At 46.9% G+C, this 25,039-nt stretch overlaps 2 protein-coding genes across 21 annotated transcripts in view, besides 5 other annotated features; one reads left to right on the top strand and one right to left on the bottom strand.

Annotated features, from left to right (window-relative positions):
• The window catches only part of GTF3C1 (general transcription factor IIIC subunit 1), an 89,301-nt gene extending 76,801 nt beyond the window's left edge, over nt 1-12,500 (bottom strand). For all 4 annotated transcript variants that reach the window (XM_047434036.1, XM_017023188.3, NM_001286242.2 and 1 more), the window contains exons 1-4: nt 12,257-12,500; nt 7,901-8,110; nt 767-943; nt 371-514 (exon numbers count right to left, since the gene is read on the bottom strand). In XM_047434036.1, coding sequence (XP_047289992.1) covers nt 371-514; nt 767-943; nt 7,901-8,110; nt 12,257-12,477 — 752 coding nt within the window. In that variant the 5' untranslated portion in view covers nt 12,478-12,500. The remainder of the gene's footprint in view (nt 1-370; nt 515-766; nt 944-7,900; nt 8,111-12,256) is intronic.
• Nucleotides 1,155-1,449: an enhancer, noted in NCBI's record as "tiled region #5680; K562 Activating DNase matched - State 14:Gen5'". NCBI's record gives its function as "activates a minimal TATA promoter and a strong SV40 promoter by Sharpr-MPRA in K562 cells {active_cell/tissue: K562}" and the evidence as "EXISTENCE:reporter gene assay evidence [ECO:0000049][PMID:27701403]".
• Nucleotides 1,155-1,489: a biological region, named in NCBI's record as "Sharpr-MPRA regulatory regions 5680 and 15498".
• Nucleotides 1,195-1,489: an enhancer, noted in NCBI's record as "tiled region #15498; K562 Activating DNase unmatched - State 14:Gen5'". NCBI's record gives its function as "activates a minimal TATA promoter and a strong SV40 promoter by Sharpr-MPRA in K562 cells {active_cell/tissue: K562}" and the evidence as "EXISTENCE:reporter gene assay evidence [ECO:0000049][PMID:27701403]".
• Nucleotides 12,397-12,476: an enhancer, noted in NCBI's record as "active region_10633". NCBI's record gives its function as "activates an Ori minimal core promoter by ATAC-STARR-seq in GM12878 lymphoblastoid cells {active_cell/tissue: GM12878}" and the evidence as "EXISTENCE:reporter gene assay evidence [ECO:0000049][PMID:35858748]".
• Nucleotides 12,487-12,596: an enhancer, noted in NCBI's record as "active region_10634". NCBI's record gives its function as "activates an Ori minimal core promoter by ATAC-STARR-seq in GM12878 lymphoblastoid cells {active_cell/tissue: GM12878}" and the evidence as "EXISTENCE:reporter gene assay evidence [ECO:0000049][PMID:35858748]".
• Nucleotides 12,731-25,039, top strand: part of KATNIP (katanin interacting protein) — a 230,201-nt gene continuing 217,892 nt past the window's right edge. For 16 of the 17 annotated variants that reach the window (XM_005255201.4, XM_005255202.4, XM_011545775.3 and 13 more), the window contains exon 1: nt 12,731-12,764. In XM_005255201.4, the coding sequence (XP_005255258.1) occupies nt 12,758-12,764 (7 nt within the window). In that variant the 5' untranslated portion in view covers nt 12,731-12,757. Of the gene's footprint in view, nt 12,765-16,200; nt 16,221-25,039 lie in introns of those variants that run through there. The other variant, XM_011545773.3, reaches the window with a different exon arrangement.

Consider the following 25,039-nt stretch of genomic DNA (forward strand, 5'->3'; position numbering starts at 1 on the left):
TATTATTTTTTTAAGAGACAGGGTCTCACTCTGTCACCCAGGCTGGAGTATAGCAGTGCAGTCATGGCTCACTGCAGCCTCAAATTCCTGGGCTCAAGCGATCCTCCTACCTCAGCCTCCTGAGTAGTTGGGACTACAGGTGTGCACCACCACGCCCAGCTAATTTTTTATTTTTATAAAGATGCCATCTTGGTATATTGCCCAGGCTGGTCTGGAACTCTTGGCCTCAAGCAGTTCTCCCACCTCAGCCTCCCAAAGGGCTATGATTACAGGTATGAGCCACTGTACCCAGCTGCCCCTACAATTTTTAAAGCATACTACACATGGCTGCAACTAAAAAACCTAATGTTTTGGTCACTACAAACCATACCTGTCCACATGAAACCGGTTCAGTAGGAGGAGGATTGAGTGTTGCTGGGCTCCAGTGGGTAATCGGATCACATGGGACTGCATTGTAATCAGCCCGTTTTTGTTCAAAATTTTTCTGTGATAGTGCAGCTTCCCAGCATCAACCCTGGAGGAAAAGAGGAGCCATGTCATTTGCTTTGCTGGTAGTTTTATCAATGTATAGAGTCTCTCACTTGGACATAAACACCAGAGACACAAACCTCCTGTCCAGCCAACCTAAGAAAACAGTCACTGTGAGACCACGGCCTTGAAACAAAAAGCCATGCCTCAGGGAAGATACCACAGCAGGCCCCTGCATTTGGGATTCAGGGTGCAATGACATATAATTTAAAGCAGAGAAGCAAATCCCCCCACTTACTTGAAAGCAGTGGTGTGAAGGTCTCGCTGGAGCTCCCCTTGCCACCTGGACCGGCCTAGCCGTTCCAGGATGCAGTAGGAGAAGTCGGGCAGCTTCAGGTCGGGATCCCCCTCCTGGCCTATCAAGGCCCTGTACCGCATGGCCTGGGAGGCAACGATGATCAGTTTCTTCCCCCACCTGCAAATCGGAAACAATCGCATGAAGAAATAAGTTTAACTGATTTTAGGAAAACTGAGATAAGAAAAAGAAATGTGCAGAATCCTCATTTCCTGCTTCTGCTAGGAGTTTACAAGATCCCAAAATTAAGTTAAGCAAGTTTCAGTCTTAGAAGTGTAGTGTGCTAAAAAAGACAATAATAATAATAATAAAAGTAGTGTAGTGTGCTGAAGGAACAGAGCCAATCTTATTTCCTTGCTGATAGCCCTTCAGGGCTCGCCAAGGCGCTCAGGCCAAATCCAACTCCTCATCCCACTCCTCCTGGAAAGCTCTCCACGGCCCATCCCTCCCTGCCTTGCTTATCTCATCCTCCACAGCTCTGCCCCTCACCCACAGGAGGCTTCCTGTTCCTAAGACAAGCCTCAGGGGTGCTGCCCTTGCTGTTTCCTCGGCCTGGCTGCTTTTCATCCAGGTCTTTAGGTGACTGATTTATTCTCATCATTCAGGTCGCAGCTCAGTTGTCAACTCCTCAGGCCTTTCAGAAAATGCCAACTAGAGTTCTAGCCCCACCCCCACCATTTCCATATTCTTCATAGAACTTAGCACTCTTAGAAATGACTATATATACACACATATACACACACACACACACACACACACACACTCATCTTTTTTTTTTTTTTTTTTTTTGCCAACATCCTTGTCAGTTTCCCTCATTCAAATATAAGAGCAGGCACATTGTCAACCTGTTCACCAGGACATCCTCAGTGCGCAGAATGAATTTGGGTGATAATAGGAGCTCTGTGTATATTTGTTAAGTAAATGAACCAGCCCAGTGAGCTGGACTGATAAAACAATCTTCAGAGTCAAAAGCACTGAACGGTGCAATCAGTGGACCTGCAGTCTCATTTTGACTTCACTGTTGAAGGCCAGACCTTGCCTTCAAATCATTAGTTCCTTCCTCTAAATTGACATGTGAGAAAGAATGCACCAAAAGAGGCCAAAACCACTTCCTAGCAAAAGGCATGTGAGGACAGCCCAAGTGAGAAGACTCATTTCTGTGCTGACACCTAACAGTCTTTACTGTGCATTCCCCATCGCTGATGATGGAGACTCCACCACAATGCCTGGCCTGCTCAATCCAACTGACATCTTGAGCAAATTGACCTGCTCCATTCACCCACTCTCAGAGTCCAAGCCCTGGCCCTGCAGCTGGGAGATCCCATAAGGATGTGCTGCCGGGGAACCCATCCCTCACTCGTTCCTTGGCATCAAGTTACTCAACTGGAGAAGACTGAAGTTTGAATGTGTCCCCTGAAAGTTCACGTGTTAGAAACCTAATTTCCATCGTAACAGTATTAAGAGGAAGAATCTTTAAGAGGTGATTAGGCCATGACAGTTCTGTTCTGCCCTCTTGAATACATTAAGGCTTTTATCGTGGGAGTGGGTTAGTTATCTCAGGAGTGGGACGTCCTTTCCAGATGCTGGTGCCATGCTCTTGGACTTCCCAGCCCCTTGAACCATGAACCAAACAGACTTCTGTTCTTTATAAATTACCCAGTTTGTGGTATTCTGTTGTATCAGCAGGAAATGGCCCAAGGTAGAGGACCCCCCTTTCCCAGATGAAGGAGTCACCAAGGGTCCACATACAAAAGCTCACAGGCTACCAATTCTGTTCACCGGGAGCCAACATCCACTCTTCTCAGCCCTAGTATTTGCAGATGCCTAGTCACGAGGTCCTGCTGCAGCCACACCACTCAACTCAGTCTGACAGTTTTCCTTCCCTCTTCCCCACACCAGATGACTTTATTTCTACCACTAAGTAGGCACAAAGAAAAAAAGAGGCTGTTTTAACTTAACTCCATCTTTCTTCACATTGTTTGACACCTGAAAATAGTATTTTGCTTAAGTCACAGAAGCCCATATAGTGCGTCTTCAAAAAGAATGTTATGTTGCGAATACACGACAGAAAGTCCACTTTATATATCTGAATTTCACAAACTTAGGACCTATGCTCTTTTGTTCTCAAAACAGGCTCATTAAGTTAAATTATAAGAGGTCAGCTGGGGGAAAAAAGTTTGAAAACAGGGCACTGGTTTGCTGCTTTTAAAACGTCATTACTCTGACTAGTTTACTATCCTTCACTGACATGATCCCAATGTTTCTGTTAATTATCGCGAATTAGCTGATTCAATAACTCCGGCTAGTTTTAATTTGCTGACTATGGTCATCTTATAGGTTATCAAATGCCAATGAAGTACCATGCAAAGTACACCAGGATACCAAGACAAATAAAAATAGTTTCTACCTTCAAGGAGCTCACAGGCTACTGGAGAAAAAAATTTAAAATGAATAATTCTAATATGAGGTCATAACTTCTCTCACAGAAAGAGGCTCTAGTTGTTGAGGCCATAAAATGTCATAGATGAGGAGCCCTAATTCAAATATGTGTGTATAAACAAGAGTGTGTGCACAGGGATTAGGGAAAACCCCTCAAGGAGATGACTCTTTTTTTCTTTTTTTTTTGAGACAAAGTTTCCTGTTGCCCAGGCTGGAGTACAGTGACGCGATCTCAGCTCACTGCAACCTCTGCCTCTGGAGCTCAAGTGATTCTCCTGCCTCAGCCTCCCAAGTAGCTGGGATTACAGACACTTGCCACCATGCCAGGCTAATTTTTGTACTTTTAGTAGAGATGGGGTTTTGCCATCTTGGCCAGGCTGGTCTTGAACTCCTGGCCTCAAGTGATCCACCCCCCTCGGCCTCCCAAAATGCTGGGATTACAGGTGTGAGCCACTGCACCAGGCAAAGAGGTGACGCTTGTATTAGCAGTGAGCTGTGTGAATGAGAGAATTAAGGGGAAGGATGCAGAAGCTGCACGGTTACAGAGGCATGAAGAAGCATGCCTGCTCCTGGAGGTAAGAGGTGCAGCACGGCTACAAAGTCTGGAGTGTGGTAGCCAGCTAGGAAGCAGAAGGAAGGAAGGAAAGCTCGAGAGGCCAGCAGCGCCTACATCCCCAGTGGCCCTCTGATGCCGTGCTGGGGAGTTCAGATTCTATAACATGGGTCAGGGGTTACAACTTCAAACATGTATTTCTAGAAGCCGGCTTTGTGCCAGGCATATTATTATAGAACTGAGAGACATAGCGGTGAACAAGAAGGATAGAGTCCCTGCCTTTGAGCAACGTATAATCTAGTGAGGAAACAGTGACATAAACAAACACTTAAAACCATTTTTGGTGCCATAAAGAGTACTACGATGGTGTCTGGGCAATGGAGGACACTTCCAGAGGAGTCAGGTTGAAGTCTGAATGATGTGGCGACGTGAAGATTTGTGGACAGAATATTCTTGGCGAAGGAACAGCACGAGGATTGCCTTGAGACAAAAAGGAGCCCAGCATGTTGAGGCTGAAGTGCAGTGCAGAGTGAAGAAACTGAGGTCGGAGCACTGGGTGAGCAGAGGCACAATCACATATAGCCTGCCGGGACCCAATCAGGAGGGCAGGGAGCACACACGAACACAACACGAACACAAACTCACGGTGTGTGGAACCGGGTGGTACATGGCCAGCTGAGGGTAACTCTGGCCTATATCACCCTGTAAAAAATTGGTCTCAGTGCAGCTAGATCTTGTGACTTTTCAAGAAAAGCTAGAAATCCAGGTTTTTAAATATTAGCAATGAAATAAAATTAAAAACCAAACAGAATACCATGCTGGGCACACAAAGCTCCTCTGTGGGCAGATTTGGTCAGTTTGAAACCTCTGCCTTGTGTGGTCAGGGTACATCCCATCACACTGGGGCCTAGAAGAGTCCCACGTTTATGGCTTGTACAGCCACGTGCATGAGAGTACATCTGACCAGAATAAAGAACGAGAAAAGGCAGTACTATGGTTTGGATGAGGCTTGTCCACACCAAAACTCATGTTGAAGTTTAACTACCAGTATGCCGGGTGCAGTGGCCCATGCCTGTAATCCCAGCAGTTTGGGAGGCCAAGGTAGGCAGATCACCTGAGGTCAGGAGTTCAAGACCAGTCTGGTCAACGCAGTGAAACCCCATCTCTACTAAAAATACAAAAATTAGCCGGGCATGGTAGCAGGTCCCTGTAAACCCAGCTACTTGGGAGGCTAAGGCAGGAGAATCGCTTTAACCTGGGAGGTGGAGGTTGCAGTGAGCCAAGATTGCGCCATTGGACTCCAGCCTGGGCGACAAGAGCAAAACCCCGCCTCAAAAAGAAAAAAAAAAAAAAGTTTAATCCCCAGTGCAGCAGCATTGGGAGGTGAGGACTAGTAGAAGGTGTTTGGGTAGTGGGGGATGGATCCCTCATAAATAGATTAATGCCACCTGGAGAAGAAAATGAGTCTCCTTCTCTTGGGAATGGATTAGCTCCGGTGAGAGTGGGTTGATGTAAAGCAAGGATGTCCTCCGGGTTTTGCCCCTCTGCACATGTTCACTGTCCCTCGGACCTTCCACCATGCTATAAGGCAGCACGTAAGTCTTGCCAGAAGCCAGTGCCATGCCCTTGAGCATCCTAGCCTGCAGCACTGTGAACTAAATAAGCCTCTTTTCTTTGTAAATTACCCAGCCTCAGGTATTCTGTTCTAGCAACACACAACACACTAAGACAGGAACAGAAGGCAGGTTTGGGTTGAAGGAGAGTGATGACCACACTGGTATGCACAGCAGATTATTGGAATAACACATATGCCGCTTGGGAGAGAGGTCTGGGACTAGACAAAGAGCCTTTAGAAGCAGTCAATGTGTCTTTCTTGACCAGGCATGGTGGCTCACGCCTGTAATCCCAGCACTTTGGGAGGCCAAGGCGGGTGGATCACCTGAGGTCAGGTGTTCAAGACCGGCCTAGCCAAGATGGTGAAACCGAGTCTCTACTAAAAATACAAAAATAAGCTGGGCGTGGTGGCATGCACCTGTAATCCCAGCTACTCGGGAGGCTGAGGCAGGAGAATCGCTTGAACCTGAGAGGCGGAGGTTGCAGTAAACCGAGACTGTGCCACTGTACTCCAGCCTAGGCAACAAAGCAAGACTCTGTCTCAAAAATAAATAAATAAATAAAAAGAGATCGGGTCACGCTCTATTGTCCAGACCGGAATGTGGTGGTGCAATCATAACTCACTGAAGCCTCAAACTCCTGGGCTCAAGCAATCCCCCCATCGCAGTCTCCCAAGTAGCTGGTACTACAGAGTGTGCCACTATGCCCAGCTAGTTTTTTGTTTTTTTAATTTTTTGTAGTGATGGGGTCTTGCTATATTGCCCAGGCTAGTCTTTAACTCCCAGCCTCAAGTGATCCTCCTGCCTTGGCCTCCCAAAGTGCTTGGATTACTGCTTAGCCCACCAGCCAACATTTAAGTGGTGGAAGGAAGTAGGTGAATCCACAAATAAGCTGGTGAGGAATGGCAAGGAAAGTAGAAAAACAAAATAAGGCAGGAAGCCACTGGCACAAAAGCTTTGAGTCCTTAACAGTGTAGCAGGGTCAAGGAGATTAGGGTCCTAACAGTGTTCATGGCCCCATGGGATCTTAGAGGATAAAACTGTGAAGTGATAAAGTCAGGAATCAGGATTGCAGTGGGCAAAGGAGTGAAGGGGAGGTGAAGAGGGAGAAACAGTGAATGGGGGTGATTCATCTAAGAAGCGTGGGTGCAGAGTCAAAGAAACAGCCAGTTACAAGGGATTTGAGGTCAAGAGAAGGTTCTGCTGCGAGATGGGTGAACTGTGTTCATGTGCTGAAGGGAAAGCTTCAGTAGAAATCAAGGACAGACAGGGGGCCGTTGCTCACACTTGTAATCCCAGCAATTTAGGAGGCTGGGATAGGAGGATTGCTTGAGCCCAGAAGTTTGAGACCAGCCTGAGCAACATGGCAAGACCCCACCTCTACAAAAAATAAAACTTAGCTGGGTGTGGTGGTATGCGCCTGTGGTCCCAGCTACTCAGGTGGAAGGTGGGAAGATCACCTGAGCCCAGGAGGTCAAGGCTGCAATAAGCTGTGATCACACCACTGTACTCCAGCCTGGGCAACAGAGTGAGACTCTGTCTCAAAAAAAAGAAAAAGAAAATCAAGGAGAAAGATGAGCTAACTGAGAGGTGGAAAAGAGCAGGGGTAGAGGGAGCTGGGCTGGGGGAGGGGAGGAGGAGGAAGGGATGCATCCAGATCACAGCCTTAGACAGGGCCACCATTTCTCACCTCCTCCGAGATGAGAGTAGACAGGGAAGAAATGTGGAAAAGTCTGCAAGTCAAGAAAGAAGGTGGAAGTTAGCAGAGTTCACATTGCCCTGTAAAGTAGGAAGGAAGGCAGGAATGGAGTTAGGTGCTTGAAAAAAAATGATCATTTGGATTAGACACTCTGGGGAATTGGGATACTGACTGAGGATTCACAAGAGAATGGCTTGGCAGCACAGGGCCCAGGTAGGAAGAGAGAAAGGGCACCATTCAAGTGCTCAAGGACTGTGAGCACAAAGGAAAGAGAAAGGCAGGACCCGTGACCCCAGTGAAGAAGGCGAATGAAGGCCAAGAACTGGCGTAGTGCAGGGCTAGTGAACTCTGACAGACTCCAAGGTTGTGGGCCAGATCCAAGTGCTCTGACTACACATTCAAAGCACTCAGATTCCCAGGAATTTCTTTTTTCCTTTTTTTTTTTTTTTGTAGACAGGGTCTGACTCTGTTGCCTAGGCTGAAGTGCAGTGGCATGACCTCGGCTCACTGCAGCCTGCCTCTGCTTTCTGGGTTCAAGTGATTCTCATGCCTCAGCCACTACAGTAGCTGGGATTATGGGCATGTGCCACCACACCCGGCTAATTTTTGTATTTTTAGTAGAAACAGCGTTTTGCCATGTTGGCCAGGCTGGTCTTGAACTCCTGGCCTCAAGTGATCCACCTGCCTCGGCCTCTTAAAGTGCTGGGATTACAGGCGTGAGCCACCGTACCCGGCCAGATTCCCAGGAATTTCTGATGGTGCAAAATAGTTACCTGTCAAAGGCTTCCACCATTGTACAGCGAGGCTGCAAGGACTTGGTTCTGATGTCATTGGTAATGTTTTTCCTCTCCTTAAAGTAGCGGCATGAGCCCTGGATGCCATCCTTATTCTCTAAGATCATATGAATGGGGTAGACATCCTCCAAAGCCACCGGGTCCCTCCTAGACTCCAAAATTCCAGTTTCCAAATCAATTTCTTCATACCTAAGGAGAAAAACACAAATATCAAAGCCCAACTCAGCTTCAGATATAATGTGTGCTTGGCTGTGTTCTTTTGACAACCTCCAGCAGAGATCAGAGAGAAGTGAGATCAGTCAGTTTTCCTGCCTTATAAATGCAGATAATCTTGACAAGCAGGTTCCTGCCTTTCTATCCCACAGAACGCAGACCTTTCCAGGACTCCCCAGACTATTCCAGAAGCTGGGTGCTGGGACCTAAACCTCCTTATTGGCCAAGTCATGGGCTTTTGTTTCCCTCCAAATCTGGTACTCAGTCTCCAAACCACCAAGTTGGACGAAATGATTCAAGGCTTTCCTCCGCTTTTTTGAGATGGAGTTTTGCTCTTGTTGCCCAGGCTAGAGTCCAATGGCATGATCTTGGCTCACTGCAACCTCCACTTCCCAGGTTCAAGCAATTCTCCTGCCTGAGCCTCCCAAGGAGCTGGGATTATAGGGGTGTGCCACCACGCCCGGCTAATTTTGTATTTTTAGTAGAGATGACGGTTCACCATGTTGGTCAGGGTGGTCTCGAACTCCTGACCTCGGTGATCCACCCGCCTCAGCTTCCCAAAGTGCTGAGATTACAGGTGGGAGCCACCACAAGTGGCCAAAGCTTTCCTCCCTTTAAGATCTCATCTTTCCATCTCTCCTTAGTTATCTCTCTAATATCCTAACCCATTTTCATGGTTTGCATTACCGCCTGCATGTTAACAAGTCTCACCTTTGAATCCTCAGTCCTTTTTCTCCAAATACAGATCCAATGTCTTCACTTGTCTATTAAATGCCTCCCATTCCAAATATGATTACCTCTCCCCAGCTCCAATTAAGTCCCTTCTTTCCCCTCTTACTACCGCTTTCTTCCATGTGCCTCTTACAACACCATGGAGACATTTTTCATTTGTGCTTCTTTCATGCAGTTAGCCAAGCTTGTCAAGTTTTTTTTTTTTTGAAAAAAAAAAAAAATACATACATATATATATATATAATTTTTTTTCCCCTCACTATGTTGCCCAGATTGGTCTTGAACTACCGGGCTCAAGTAATCTGCCCACTTCAGCCTTGCAAAGTGCTAGGATTACAGGTGTGAGCCACCTTGCCTGGCTGCTTGTCGAGTTTTATTTTGAAATCTCACTCATATCCTACACTAGTCTAATTGCGGCTAAATCCTATGTACATGTTTCAGCCCTTTCCTTCCTTGCCCCCTCTGTGTTATCTGCACCATTTAACCCTCCATTCCTTTTTTTTAAGACTTGAGTTTTGATCTTGTCACCCAGGCTGGAGTGCAGTGGCGCAATCTCGGCTCACTGCAACCTCTACCTTCTGGGTTCAAGCGATTCTCCTGCCTCAGCCTCCCTAGTAGCTGGGATCACAGGCACCTGCCACCACACCCAGCTAATTTTTGTATTTTTAGTAGAGAGAGGGTTTCACGATGTTGGCCAAATGATCCACCTGCCTCGGCCTCCCAAAGTGCTGGGATTACAGGCATGATTCACCACACCCAGCCCAACCCTCCGTTCTTAAATGATCCTGTCTCCTCCCAAACTTCCAGAACACCACTCTGACCTGACTGTCCTCTACCTCTCCAGCCACACCGCCTCAGTCTTCTTTTGAAAGTCCCTCACCCTCCATCCAGCCTTGAAATGTAGGTGCACTGCAGAGCTATATCTCAAGACCTCCAACCACACTACACTCTCTCTTAGGGCTGATCTTAGCCAGCTGCTTTAATTACCAGCTGCTAGGAATGACTCACAGATGTCTAGCTCAGTCCCTCCCTCTGGCCTGCTTTCACTCCCACGAAGCCAGATGTTTACTAATTAAGACTCTTCACTTGGACAACTCAAAAGAACCTGAAGCTAAATGTGTCACATGTCTCTTCAGCAAAGTCCCCACCTCCCCCAGACTCAACCCCCACGCTGTTCTTCCGTGTTCCCAGCCTCAGAGATGAGAATCAGGGTTCGCTCAGGTGCCCAAACAGCAGCCTACTATGTCTTGACTGCCTGTGCTCTTCATCCCCACGCCCACCATGGTAAGCCAGACCATGACTAGATTACTAAAAATCTCTCAACTTCACTCTTTGCCCCTAGTCTGACCCTCTCTTCAGTGACTTCTCACTGTCCTTTTGATAAAGGATAAGCTTTTTTTTTGAGATGGATTCTCCCTCTGTCACCCAGGCTGGAGTGCAGTGGCACAATCTCGGCTCACTGCAGCCTCCACCTAGCTGGGATTTCAGGCGTCTACCACCACGCCCAGCTAATTTTTGTATTTTTAGTAGACATGGGGTTTCACCATGTTGGCTGGACTGGTCTTGAACTCCTGACCTCAAGTTATCCGCCCACCTCTGCCTCTCAAAGTGCTGGGATTACAGGCTGATAAACTCTTTAAGTAGGTTAAAAGACTTGATTCCAGTCCAATTTGGCTGGAATCTGAACTCAGACCTTCCTCAAAGTCTGGGTTCTTCCCTTGCTAGTTGACTTTTAGCATGCCACTTGACCCCTCAGGGCCTCGATTTTCTCTTCAGGAAAATGGGGAGAATATTACCCATCTCCTAAGGTTTCTGTAAAAATTAAATAACATGTTGTATTAAGGATCTTAGCACAGTCCTAGCTATTCCTCATTCCCTACCTCCAATTCCACACTTCAGCCACTTACTTCACATTTGCTGTTCTCTGTCCAACAGTCCTCTTTGCCAACTGGCTGCCTAAATCCAACCTTTAAGTTTTGTCTCGAACATTATTTTATTTTATTTTTGAGACAGAGTCTCACTCTGTCACCCAGGCTGGAGTGCAATGGCTGAATCTCAGCTCACTGAAACCTCTGTCTCCCAGGTTCAAGTGATTCTCCTGCCTCAGCCTCCTGAGTAGCTGGGATACAGGCATGCGCCACCACGCCAGGCTAATTTTTGTATTTTTAGTAGAGATAGGGTTTCACCACGTTGGTCAGGCGGGTCTTGAACTGCCGACCTTGTGACCCATCCACCTCAGCCTCCCAAAGTACTGGGATTGCAGGCATGAGCTGCTGCACCCGGCCTGTCTTGGACATTATTACCTCTTGGAACCTCCCCTGACCCTCACAATATGGCTTAAGAGCACAGACGCTGAAAATAGCCTGGGTTCAAATCAATTCTTAGTCACTTATTGCCCCCAGAACCTTAGGTTACATAATCCCTCTCTGTGACTCAGTGTCTTCCTCTGTAAAATGAGGACGATAACAGCACCTACCTCATAGGTGAGGATCAAGTGAATTTAATCTCCTGTTTAACGGAGTTTAATCAAGTGAGGATCAAGTGAGTTTAAGCTCCTAAAGCTTCTAGAATAGATTCTTAGAACAGCAATGTGGCCGGGCGCCGTGGCTCACGCCTGTAATCACAGCACTTTGGGAGGCCGAGAGGTGCGGATTGTCTGAGGTCAGGAGTTCGCGACCAGCCTGGCCAACATGATGACACCCCATACCTACTAAAAATGCAAAAATTAGCCGGGCGTGGTGGAACATGCCTGTAATCCCAGTTACTCAGGAGGCTGAGGCACGAGAATCGCTTGAACCTGGGAGGCGGACGGAGGTTGCAGTGAGCCAAGATCGCGCCACTGCACTCCAGCCTGGGCCACAGAGAGAGACTCTATCTCAAAAAAGAAAAAAAAGAACAGCACCTCACCCATGAAGTCCCTGATAAATGTCAGCTTTTAGCATTATCGCTAATTGTCCTGATACGCAGATCTCGAGTTGCCCTAGGCTATCTGCACCGAATGAATATACCATGAGGGTCTGTTGATCTCAGGAGTCTCCAGTCTGGCTCTAAAGTGTCTTTCCTGCTCTAATCCTATCCTCCAATGTAAAGGAAACATTCTTTTAAGCCTGAAGAATATCCCCAATCCTGTTCGCCATTACCCCAAAACACACACAGGGACAAAACGGGACATCACTAGATTCTCCCCCTCCCCCCGCCAACTCCATCGGACTCCAGGGCCCTGCCAGGCCTGAGGGACCCCAGATTAGCCTTACCGCCGTGCCCCAACTCAATCAACAGGCCTCCGGTACTTGCACAGCCCCACTCCATTCCCCCGCCCTGCCCCCAGCTCCATCAGCCCCCGGGCCCTGCGCCCGCCCGCCCGCCCGCCAGGCCAGGCCGCCCGCTGACCGGTCCTGGAGCTGTAGGTCGGGTCGCTCCCGAGGCTCCTCATAGAAGCTGATGCCCGGGTGCGTGGCGAGGGCCCGCCAGAGAAACTCCTGCGTGCAGGGTTCCAAAGGCAGCGGGAAGGGCGGCACTCGCGTCTCCAGCCGGCTCCACAGCGCTGGCAGACACAGGCCATCGAGCCCCTCCAGAGCGACTTCGTCCAACAACGACTCCAGCGCGTCCATTGCTACTTCAGTCGGCGGCGCCCGGGGCGCATGCGCAACGCACCGCCAAGGGCCTTGGTCCATCGCGCCTGCGCACAACGATCCGGGGCCCGGGGAGGTGGGTCAGACCCAGGGTTCGGAGGAGGAGTTCCAGCGCGCCGGCATGACGTCACTCCCCGGGGGCGGGCTCAGTAAGTGGAGCTCCACCGTCATTGGTCCGGGGCCCCGCAGTAACCAGGGGAACTGCAAACAGTGTAGAGGCCGCTTCCGGTTCGAGCTCCCGGAACCGCCGCCTCTAGGGATGGACGGTGAGTGTCTGTGGGCCCCTCCGGGAGGTCGGGCTGTTATTCTCCCATCCCTCCCGACCGCGCTTTGGGCAGAATCCTAGGCCATGAACCCCTGGACCACCACTTCCTGACCCAAGGGGGTCTCCGAAATGAGGGATAGGGAGGCTTAGTGGTCTGGAACGCGGAGGAGAGCCTGGGGGAGTGGTCAGTGCTGTGACCATTCTGCTCGGCTGTGGTCGTGAAGGAAACCGGTACTGGCCGGGAGCTCAGTGAAGGGATGTAGGGTGGGGAAGGAGAAGTAGAGGTCTGAGGAGGGTCTTGTGAATGTTGGGATGTGGAACTGTCGGATTTGGGAGTTGATATGAAAACAAGCTTGATCGTGGGAGTGCAATCGTCAGGTGCTGGGAAAGGGAATTGGTGTGGGGGGTGAAGGGAGTTTAGGAAATACTCCCTTTCTGTGCCTTGGCGTTAATAATAATAGCTCCCTTTAACAAAGTGCTTTCCAGTACCAAGAACTCTGTAAGTACTCTTGGGCAACACCTCGCTAAGCTTCATACCAGCCTTTTGAGTTCAGCGTTGTTCCATTTTACAGATGATGAAACTGAGGCTCAGAGGTGTTAAGGAACTTGCCCAAAGTCAAACAACCAGCATGTAGCAGAGTGAGTGAGAAACCCAGACACCCTGTCTCTGGAGCTGAATTATGGAGCTTGAGATTTGGACCGGTTTTGAGGGTCCCTTTATTCCAGAGGTTGTAAATGCAGATGTCTGCAGAGGAGAGTCTAGTGAGCCGGATTGAGGCTGTAACTGAAAATCAATTCCTCACCTGAAAGGAAAGCTGCTCACCAAGCACCAGCTGATTGTCCTCTTGGGGTACTTCTCAAAAACAGGGTTGGCCAGTCACTCTGAAGGCCAGAGACAGCTTGTGGGCCCCCATTTAGGGATCCCTGATTAGAGTCATGGTATTGACAATTGGAAGCAAATGGAAAATAGGCTATTCTGATATCTCACTTTGCAGATGGGAAGACTAAAGTCTAGAGAGACTGGTAGGGTCTGGGCTAGAGTCCAGATCATTTTTCTAATTACAGCACTGTCCCTCACTTCTCGGGAATTTGTTCCTGGGGAATCCACATTCTTTTTATATTCACTGAATGTAGTGTGGAGAAAATGTTTTTAATTGAACATTCTGTCATATGCTTAAAATATATCTTTTCCCTTTGTACTTTAGAGGTACTATAAAATGTGCTTTACCATTTTGCCTTCTGGAAAGGTCAATGTAATGTTGCTATAGAACATCAGTCCTCAAACCTTTTAAGCCTTGGGACCCCTGTATGCTCTTACCTCAAAGAGCTTTGTTTATTTATATTTATGATATTTACCATATCGAAGATTTAAACTGGGAAAATCTTAAGATGTCCATTAATTAGTTCCTTTAAAAATAATAAAAATTGGGCCGGGCATGGACTCGTGCCTGTAATCCTAGCACTCTGGAAGGCCAAGGCAGGTGGATCACTTGAGGTCAGGAGTTCGAGACCAGCCTGGCCAACATGGTGAAACCTTGTCTCTACTAAAACTTAGCCGGACGTGGTGACACATGTCTGTAATCCCAGCTACTTGGAAGGCTGAGGCAGGAGAATCATTTGAAGCCGAGATCTTGCCACTGCACTCCAGCCTGGGCAACAGGGCGAGACTCTGTCTCAAAAAAACCCAATAATAATAATAATAATTGGCCAGGTGCAGTGGCTCATAATAATCATAATAATAATTGGCCATGTGCAGTGCCTCACACCTGTGATCCCAGCAGTTTGGGAGGCTGAAGTGGGTGGATTGCTTGAGCTCAGGAGTTCAAGACCAGCCTGGGCAACATAGCTAGACCCTGTCTCAAAAAAACTCCAACAACAATAAACCCATTACTTCTGAACATAAATAATATTTTTAATGGAAAACAATTACATTTGCCTCCAAAAAATTAATAGGAAGAGTAGCATTATTTTATGTTTTTTCAAGTTTATTCAATAGAAATAGAAAAAACTACTCTCATTTCTGCTTCAGGATTCAAACTGTTTTTTGTTATGCTGTTTTGGCTGGTGTGTATGAAGAAAATTTGGCCTCATACAAATATATAATTGGAGCAGAGAGAAACATTTTAATTGCCTTTTCAGATAACTGTAGACACTCTCCTTTCATACTATACAAAATTTAGCAAATGCCAGTTTCTTTTTTCTTTTTTTTTTTTTTTTTGAGAAAAAGTCTCACTGTCGCCCAGGCTGGAGTGCAGTGGCACGATCTCAGCTCACTGCAACCTCTGCCTGCTGGGTTCAAGCGATTCTCCTGCCTCAACCTCCCGAGTAGCTGGGATCACAGGTGTGAACCACCATGCCCAGCTAATTTTTTTTATTTTTAGTAGACATGGGGTTTCCCCATGTTGGCCAGCTGGTCGCAAACTCCTGACCTCAGGTGATCAGCCTGCCTCCATTTCCCAAAGTGCTGGGATTACAGACGTGAGCCACCATGCCTGGCCTGCAAGTGGCAGTTTTTTTTTTTTTTTTTTTTTTTTGAGACGGGAGTTTTGCCGTCGTTGCCCAGGCTGGAGTGCAATGGCCTGATCTCGGCTCACCGCAACCTCCGCCTCCCGGGTTCAAGCGATTCTCCTGCCTCAGCCTCCCAAGTAGCTGGGATTACAGGCATGTGCCACCACGCTCAGCTAATTTTGTACTTTTAGTAGAGATGGGGTTTCTCTATGTTGGTCAGGCTGGTCTCAAACTGCCAACCTCAGGTGATCCGCCCGCCTTGGCCTCCCAAAGTGCTGGGATTACAGGCATGAAGAACCATGCCAGGCCACAAGTGGCAGTTTCTTAAATGTTAGTCACAGTGTGTCATCTGAAGCCTTATAGGTGAACTTTTATACTGTGTTACATTAAAATCCATTGGTCTATCTTGCCCTTTCATTGGCTGCTTTACCCATATATGGTTTTATAACATCAGCCATTGGTCGTTTAGAAAATGTTGGTTCAGTGAGTTATGCAAATCTAAACGTTGACCTTTCAGATGCCATTATACGGTATTTAAAAAATCACATTTGTTAATATCACCACCTATTTCATTTTAAAAAGGAGTTTAAGTATTAGGAAACTATCAAACTCAAGGTAATGGAAACAAGTTTTCAACTTGTTTTCACTTGACAGCTTGAATTTTAACATTGGCAGCAAATATTGTCAGCTGTTTCCTTGAAGTGACAGACTCACTTATTTCATATTTGAGAAAATTTCTGCCAAATTCCCAAGACTGAATAACCAAAATTTGTCTATTATTTTATTTACTGCCATGTACTCACATTTAAAACAAACAAACAATTATTTTTATTTAAGAATGTCCTGATGGTTGGGTTCAGTGGCTCACGCCTATAGTCCCACCGCTTTGGGAGGCCAAGACAAGAGGATCTCTTCAGCCCAGAAATTCAAGACCAGCTTCGTCAACATAGTGAGACTCCATCTCTACTAAATAAATAAATAAAATAAATAAATAAATAAATAATAGTCAGGCATGGTAGCATGCACCTGTGGTTCTAGCTGCTAAGGAGACTGAGGTGTGGGGATCACTTGAGCCCAGGAGGTCAAGACCAGCCTGGGCAACTTAGTGAGACCCCATCTCTGTAAAAAGTAAAAAATTAGACAGGTATAGTGGCTCGTGCCTGTAGTCCCAGCCACTCAGGATCAGTTGAGCTTAGGAGGTTGAGGCTACAGTGAGCCATGACTGTGCCACTGCACTCCAGCCTGGGCAAAAAGACCTTGTCTAGAGAGAGAGAGAGCAGGGGGTGGGGTGGGGGGAGAGAGGAGAGAGAAAGGAAGGAAGGAAAGAAGGGAGGGAGAGGAGAGAGAAAGGAAGGAGGAAAGAAGGGAGGGATGGAAGAAGGGAGGGAGGAAGGAAGGAGGGAAGGTTTCTAGTACATTGTGGTAACATTGCCTTGATTCAGACTGCAAGCAGTTTTACCCACCATTGCTTTGTGTCATAAGTACAAATGTCAACACAGCCAGATGGGGTGGCTCACGCCTGTAATCCCAGCACTTTGAGAGGCCAAGGTGGGCGATCACCTGAGGTCGGGAGTTTGAGACTAGCCTGGCCAACATGGTGAAACCCTGTCTCTACTAAAAATACAAAAATTAGCTGGGCATGGTGGCACATAACTGTGGTCCCAGCTACTTGGGGGAGGCTGAGGCAAGAGAATCGCTTGAACCCAGGAGGCAGAGGTTGCAGTGAGCCAAGATCATGCCACTGTATTGCAGCCTGGGCAACAGAGTGAGACTGTCTCAAAAGAAAAAAAATTCAACACAGTGAAATACTCTTCAAATTATGATTAAAATACTTTTGTCTTTGTGGACCCCTCCTTCTCCCAGGATCTGCACCTTTGAGAAACATTGCTACAGTCCATTTTCAGGAAGGCTGCTTTGTGCCTTCTAATGAGCATCTCTGTACTTGCAGTCTTAGGACGTTATTGTAGCCTAGTAGAGGGGTATGTTCATTTTCAGATTGGCCCCCAAAAGGAAAAATTTATTCTCAGAAGTGTTTACCCTAGGGTCATATTTGACCTCCAAAGAATCCCATTTTCTGTTCTGATTTTTTAAACTTTGATTTACACTTTTTTTTTTTTTTTTTTTTTTGAGACAGAGTCTCGCCCTGTCACCCAGGCTGTAGTACAGTGGCGTGATCTTGGCTCACTGCAACCTCTGCCTCCCAGGTTCAAGCGATTCTCTTGCCTCAGCCTCCTGAGTAGCTGGGATTACAGGTGCACGCCACCACGCCTGGCTAACTTTTTTGTTTTTTGTTAGTAGAGATGGGGTTTCACCATGTTGGTCAGGCTGGTCTCGAACTCCTGACCTCAGGTTATCCACCTGCCTCAGCCTCCCAAAGTGCTGGGATTATAGCCATGAGCCACCGCACCTGGCCCTGATTTATACATAATTTTATAGGCACATACCTATTTATTGGATAAAGTGAAGCATACCTTATTGTGATTCTAACTAACTAGGTAAGCCAAGCCTGGCCTTATTAGAAAGATGTTTACTTCCTACGTTCACAAAAGCTTAAATGTCTAGCAGATGCCCTCCAAACTGGACTGTAATTTAGTTTATTCGGCATGTCTTAATCACCATAGCTTTTCACAACCCTTTCCCTGGCCTTTTGATTTTGACTTTGGGCAGGTCCTATCTGTTTCTGTGATGCAGTGTAATGTCCTTAGGTTTGGGGGCCAGATAGCCCTGGATTTGAATCTCTGCTGTACACTTTGACCTCTCTGAGCCTTGGTTTTCCTGTCAGTAAAATGGACATGATAATGAAGCCTACCTTGTTTTGTGGCTTCAATGAAACAATGCATCAAGTCTGGCATATAAAAAAATGTTCCTGGCTGGGCGCGGTGGCTCACGCCTGTAATCCCAGTACTTTGGAAGGCCGAGGCAGGCAGATCACCTGAGATCAGAAGTTCGAGACCAGCCTGACCAACATGGAGAAACCCTGTCTCTACTAAAAAAATGCAAAATTAGCTGGGTGTGATGGTGCATGCCTGTAATCCCAGCCACTTGGGGGGCTGAGGCAGGAGAATCGCTTGAATCTGGGAGGCAGAGGTTGTGGTGAGCCGAGATTGCGCCATTGCACTCCAGCCTGGGCAACAAGAGCGAAACTCCGTCTCAAAAAAAAAAAAAGTTCCTACAGCCAGGCGCGGTGGCTCATGCCTGACTTTGGGAGGCTGAGATGGGTGGATCACGAGGTCAGGAGTTCAAGACCAGCCTGGCCAAGATGGTGAAATCCTGTCTCTACTAAAAATACAAAAATTAGCCAGGTGTGGTGGCGGGTGCCTGTAATCCCAGATACTCGGGAGGCTGAGGCAGAGAATTGCTTGAACCTGGGAGGCGGAGGTTGCAGTGAGCTGAGATTGCACCACCGCACTCTAGCCTGGGCCAGTGAGTGAGACTCTGTCTCAAAAAAAAAAAAAAAGTTCCTATATAGTAGCTGTTGTTATCATTATCTGCAAATAGGCAGACTTATTCCACACAGTTGACAGAAGAGGGAAGCGTGCTGATGAAGCTCTCTAGCAGATGATAACTTTTGTAATTAGCACACTCTTTGCTTAAGAGAAAATCCAATGTTTGACATTTTTTATTCCATGAAGGTACATTGGCAGTGTGTGTTTTCTGCCTATGAAAATGTTCGCCTTTCTGTTAAAGTTGAATTTTCCCCAGTACTTTAAAAATATGAAATGGTTTAGGAAAAAAAATTCTATTTCATTTTCAAGGAACATAATAATTAGACAAAAGTTCAGCACATTGATATAATTAGAAAGGATTTGGAAGTTGTTCATTTGCTTTTCACTGCTCCCCTAGAGCAAATATTCAACATTTCCCTTGTTTATACTGTTCATTTGCTTAGCAAACTTTCTCAAATAATTAATAATGCCAAGATGATATTTAGCCTCACTTGTCCAAATAATCCCAGACTGCAAACAGGTGATGGTTGAATTAGGAAGGTTTTGCTGAGAGTACACCATCGGTTTAGCTGGTCTCTCCTGTCCTTGTGTGGTATTTACCTGGCTTCTTGGTGATTTGTCTGTTTCTCTTACTACTTAAACCCAGCAAAAAAAATAATAAAATAACAATCAAATGCAATAAAACAAAGCAAGCATTCAGCAGGTGAAATAAACATACATCCCATAGACTCTTTGTGTCTGTTCTGTTTTCTTCTTGTTCCAATCCTTCTATCTGATTAGTTTCTTTTCTCTCAGATTTTTTCAGAGTTCGTTCCTCCTGTCACTTTAACTTATAGGAAGTCGGCCCATAATGTTTTGCTTATTTTTCCTTATGAGATTCATTCCATGATTCAACATTTCAGTGCCTTCCGTGCATTGGAATTCAGAGATGCCAAAATGAGTAAGATTGAATCCAGGTGAAGGCGATATGGGAATTCATTGTACTATTCTTGACATTTTTCTGTGAAGTTGATTTTTTTTTTTTTTTTTGAGGTGGAGTCTCACTTTGTAGCCCAGGCTGGAGTACAGTGGCGCGATCTTGGCTTACTGCATCCTCCGCCTCCCGAGTTCCAGTGATTCTGCTGCCTCAGCCTCCTGGGTAGCTGGGATTACAGGCACATGCCACCACGCCCAACTAATTTTTGCATTTTTAGTACAGACGGGGTTTCACCATGTTGCCCAGGCTGGTCTCGAACTCCTGACCTTAGGTGATCCAACCCTACCCCTTGGCCTCCTAAAGTGCTACGGTTACAGGTGTGGATTTTTTTTTTTTTTTTTTTGAGACAGAGTCTTGCTCTGTTGCCCAGGCTGGAGTGCAATGGTGAGATAACTCACTGGTGCGTCCATCTCCTGGCTCAAGCGATCGTCCCATGTCAGCTGTCCAAGTAGCTGGGACTACAGGTGTGTGCCACCATGCCCAGCTAATTTTTTATTTTTTGTGGAGATGGGGGTCTTGCTATGTTGTCCAGGCTGGTCTCCATCTCCTGAGCTCAAGTGATCCTCCCACCTTGGCCTCCCAAGTTGCTAAGATTACAGGCATGAGCCACTATGCCTGGCTGGAAATGAATTCTTTATATCAGAGCTTGCACAAGTGGGCTGAAACAGCCCACATGCATGTTTATTTGGCTCATAATGTTTTGTTTTTTAAATTTTTGAATTAGTTGTCAACATTGAAAAATGAGCAGATTTCTTATAAATACCTGATTGTGGTATTTTCTTGAAAATATCAATAAAGTCTGTTAACACCAAATCAGAATTCTGCATGGCAACAATTGTCCCACCACCCGAGTTAAGTGGAGACTTTGCCCTTTAAGAGGGAGGTGGGCCTGTCTAATGACTGGCTTCTCTCATTGTGTCTGTCACTCCTAGGCCTGTCAGCATTTGTACTTAGAATTCTACTTTAGTATTAACTTGTACAGTTGTGAAAACTCCTGTGGACTTCCTTGTATGCCATACTGGACTATACTTATTCTTTTTGTTTGTTTTTTTGTTTTTAGATAGAGTCTTGTTCTCTCACCCAGGCTGGAGTGCAGTGGTGCGATCTCAGCTCACTACAGCCTCTGCCTCCTGGGTTCCAGTGATTCTCCTGCCTCAGCCTCCTAAGTAGCTGGGATTACAGGTGTGTGCCACCACACCTGGCTAATTTTTGTATTTTTAGTAGGGATGGGGTTTCATATGTTGGCCAGGCTGGTTTCGAACTCCTGACCTCAAGTGATCTGCCTGCCTTGGCCTCCCAAAATGCTGGGATTACAGGCATGAGTCACCATGCCCAGTTTCTTTTTGTTTTAATCTGAAAAAAAGGGAATATATTATCTGCCTTTAGAAACTTCATAGTATGGTGAGAAAGCAGACATAAACAGATGACTACATTTCAACATGGGAGTCCTTAGAAGATAATATTTGTAGAGGTCTTCCCCTTTCCCAAAGCAGTGTGGCCCACTGCCTGCTATTGTAAATAAAGTTTTATTGGAATGCAGCAGCACCCTTTCACATACATATAGTCCATGGCTGTTTTCTTGCAGAGTTGAGTAGTTGTAAAAGAGACTTATGTGGCCCACGGGCCAAAAATATTTACTATCTGGGCCTGTACAGGAAACGTTTGCTGACTGTTGCCGTGGCAGATCTGATTTGATTCCTGAGACAGCTCAATGGGATACTGTGATTGTGTCTGTTTTATACCACACACCTAGTAGGTAGCAGAGCCAGGACTCAGTCGAATAAGGTCTACACTTGGTAGTATGTTATGGAAGGCCCATTTCAGCCTTGTTACTGCCAGTGTGTGGCCAGGTTCTCACACCTGGAGAGTGAGTCTGTGGGGAAGAACTGGCCACTGGGCTGATGGAATAATATACATTTTGAAAGGTACCCGTTTTGACTACATTCCCAGCTCCCTCAGCATCTGGTCCCATGACTGCTTCTCTCTTTCCAAATGGGAGTAGGCTAATGCAGAGCAATGTGGTTGGTTGCAAGGAAGAACTTGAAACTGTTTGCAGAGCACTTTATGTAAAAGTAAGAAAGTGTGACTACTGATGTCCCATGGGGCTTTGCAGCTTTAACAATTGCCCTATGGATCATATCACCTTGAAGTATAGAATTTCTCTGGGGAATTAGCTCCCCTCCAGTCTCATCTTTTTAGACACTTGCCTACCTGCTCTCACACCCAGAGGTTTTACACTGCGCTGTACAGTGTCTATCAATATGTTTTTCCATATTCAAAAATAGTGATTTCAGGCCAGGCATGGTGGCTCATGCCTGTAGTCCTAGCACTTTGGGAGGCTGAGGCAGGAGGATCAGTTGAGCCCAGGAGTTTGAGATCAGCCTGGGCAACACGGTGAGACCCCACCTCTACAAAAAATTGTTAAAAATTATTTGGGCATGTTGACACATGCCTGTGGTTTCAGCTACTCGGGAGGCTGAGGTGGGATCACCTTAGCCCAGGAGGTTGAGACTACAGTGAGCTGTGATCATGCCACTGCACTCTAGCCTGGGCAACAGAGCAAGACCCTGTCTCAAAAAAAAAAAAAAAATAGTAAGGTCATGGTGGCTCATACCTATAATCTCAGCACTTTGGGAGGCCGAGGCAGGCGGATCACTTGAGGTCAGAAGTTTGAGAACAGCCTGGCCAACATGGTGAAACCCCGTCTCTAGTAAAAATACAGAAATTAGCCAGGCATGGTGGCACCTGCCTATAATCCCAGCTTCCTGGGAGACTGAGGTGGGAGAATCATTTGAATCCAGGAGGCAAAGGTTGCAGTGAGCCTAGATCGCGCCACTGCACACCAGCCTGGGCGACAGAGCGAGACTCTGTATAAAAAAAATAAATAAATAAAAAATCCAGGTGTGGTGGCTCACGCCTGCAATCCCAACACTTTGGGAGACTGAGGCGGGCAGATCACGAGGTCAGGAGTTCAAGACTAGCCTGGCCAACATGGTGAAACCCCGTCTCCACTAAAAATACAAAAATTAGCCGGGCGTGGTGGCGGGTGCCTGTAATCCCAGCTATTCAGGAGGCTGAGGCAGGAGAATCGCTTGAACCTGGGAGGCAGAGGTTGCAGTGAGCTGAGATCGCGCCACTGCAGTCCAGCCTGGGCTATAGAGTGAGACTCTGTCTCAGAAAAAAAAAAAAAAAAAAAAAAGGTAATTTCACATAAGAACCTGGACTTCTCAGTCTCTTGATAAACAGGGTGCTTTGGGCCCTCAGCACTTTCTTGTCACGTAGCTCTGGTCCTCTAGCACTGAACAGTGGCCACCCCCTTGACCTGGGACATGTGCTGATGACCCCTTCTGGCTGGTGTTACCTGTCATCTGGTGCTCACTTCTTCCATTGATCATATTGGCCTCCTTTGCAGGCATCTGAGATTTCAATGCCAGCCCGAGACACTTGGGGAGGTTGGCCATCTCTGGAGTACACCGTCTTCTTTCGCACCTCGCTGCCTTGCCTGTGCTGTGTTCCCTGCCAGCTGTGCCCTTCTTTCAAGTCACTTCCACACTGTAAATTGCAGTGACCAGCACCACCTGCAGAATTAGCTACTCCCCCATGGCAGGACCCCATAGCTAGTCAGGCATTGTGTTGTATCACAGGGACGAGCTCTATGCTTTTCTCCCTCTTTGAGGGTAGAGACTCACTTCTTTCCTTTGTATGCCCAGCACCTGGCACAAGGACTGGCACAGGCAGATCCCATGAGTGTTTGCTGGGTTGACACTGTAACCAGGAAAGAGATTAACGGATTTGTTCCCTAGTGAATTGCTGGACATTCTCCATAAAGTAGACAAAGGAAAGGGCCTTGTAGCCAAGCTTCCAGGCCAAGCTTCCAGGGACCGTGGCTGCATCCTTTTTGTCTTTTTTTTTTCTTTTTTTTCAAGACAGAGTCTCGCTGTGTCACCCAGGCTGGAGTGCAGTGGTGTGATCTTGGCTCACTGCAACCTCCGCCTCCTGGGTTCAAACAATTCTCCTGTCTTAGCCTCCCAAGTAGCTGGGACTACAGGCGCCCACCACCATGCCTGTCTAATTTTTGTATTTTTTTTTTTTTTTCAGTAGGGACGGGGTTTCACCATATTGGTCAGGCCGGTCTTGAACTCCTGATCTTAGATAATCCACCTGCATCGGCCTCCCAAAGTGTTGGGATTACAGGCGTGGGCCACTTTGCCTGGCCTGGTCCTTTTTCTCTAGTGGACACATATGGTTTCCCCAGACAACCCAGTCCTCATACTATTCCCGCTCCTAGCTTCCTTTCCTGTTCCCCGCAGCTGCTTCCTCTGCTCTCCCATTAGCATTCCTGTCCTGGCCCAATTTCGTTTCCTAGTGAAGTCACTTTCTCTCCCAGCTCCCACTTCACTTCAGAGCCCACTGCTACCTTGACCACCCTTAGCAGTGGACCCTCTGATTTAACATGTCCTTTGGGGAGAGGAAAGTTATGGGTAAACGTAGCGCCTGGCAGGAAGTCAGAGCGCTACAGATATCTGGTTACCTGCAGGGCCCACCACATTTTTCTAAACTCTAAGTGAACCTGCAATGCAGTGTGTGGTGTGTGTGTATGTGTGTGTGTGTTTTCCCTGTAACGAGTCCCAAACTATTTAGAAACATTTCATGAACTCTCTAATGTCACAAAAGTTAGAGTTGGAAGGAACTTGACAGATGTCGCCTAGGGTCTCATTTTGGGGACTCTGAAGTATCTTAGAACCGTGAAGTTCCCTTGCAGGGGTCACACATTTAGAGGCCTGCAGGGGCCAGGTAATGTAAATGACTGTCCTGGCCAGAGTTTATTTCATTATGCTGCTTGTGTCAGTTTCCAACACCTAAATACACATTGCATACCCAAGAATATTCTTCAGTTTCATAAAGAAATCTGTTGTCAGCCAGGGGCAGTGGCTCATGCCTGTAATCCCTGTACTTTGGGAGACTGATGCAGGAGGACTGCTTGAACTCAGGAGTTTGAGACCATCCTGGGCAATATGGCAGACCCCGGCTTTACCAAAAAATGTTATAAATTAGCTGGGCTTGGTGGCACATGCCTGTAGTCCCAGCTCCTTGGGAGGCTGAGGTGGGCGGATCACTGAAGCCCAGAAGGTTGAAGTTATTATGGTGAGCCATGACCACACCACTTTGACTCCAGCCTGGCCGACAGAGTGAGACCCTATCTCAAAAAAATAATAATGGTGATAATAATAATAGGACCTTCCCATAAGGCTGCTAGGAGAATCAAATGAATTCATCCATCTAAAACCCTTAGAACAGGGCCTGGTGCTTGGTAGACTCTCAGTACAAATTAGCTATGTGGAGAAG

The sequence above is a fragment of the Homo sapiens genome, chromosome 16, assembly GCF_000001405.40.
Source record: "Homo sapiens chromosome 16, GRCh38.p14 Primary Assembly".
Lineage (NCBI taxonomy): Eukaryota > Metazoa > Chordata > Mammalia > Primates > Hominidae > Homo > Homo sapiens.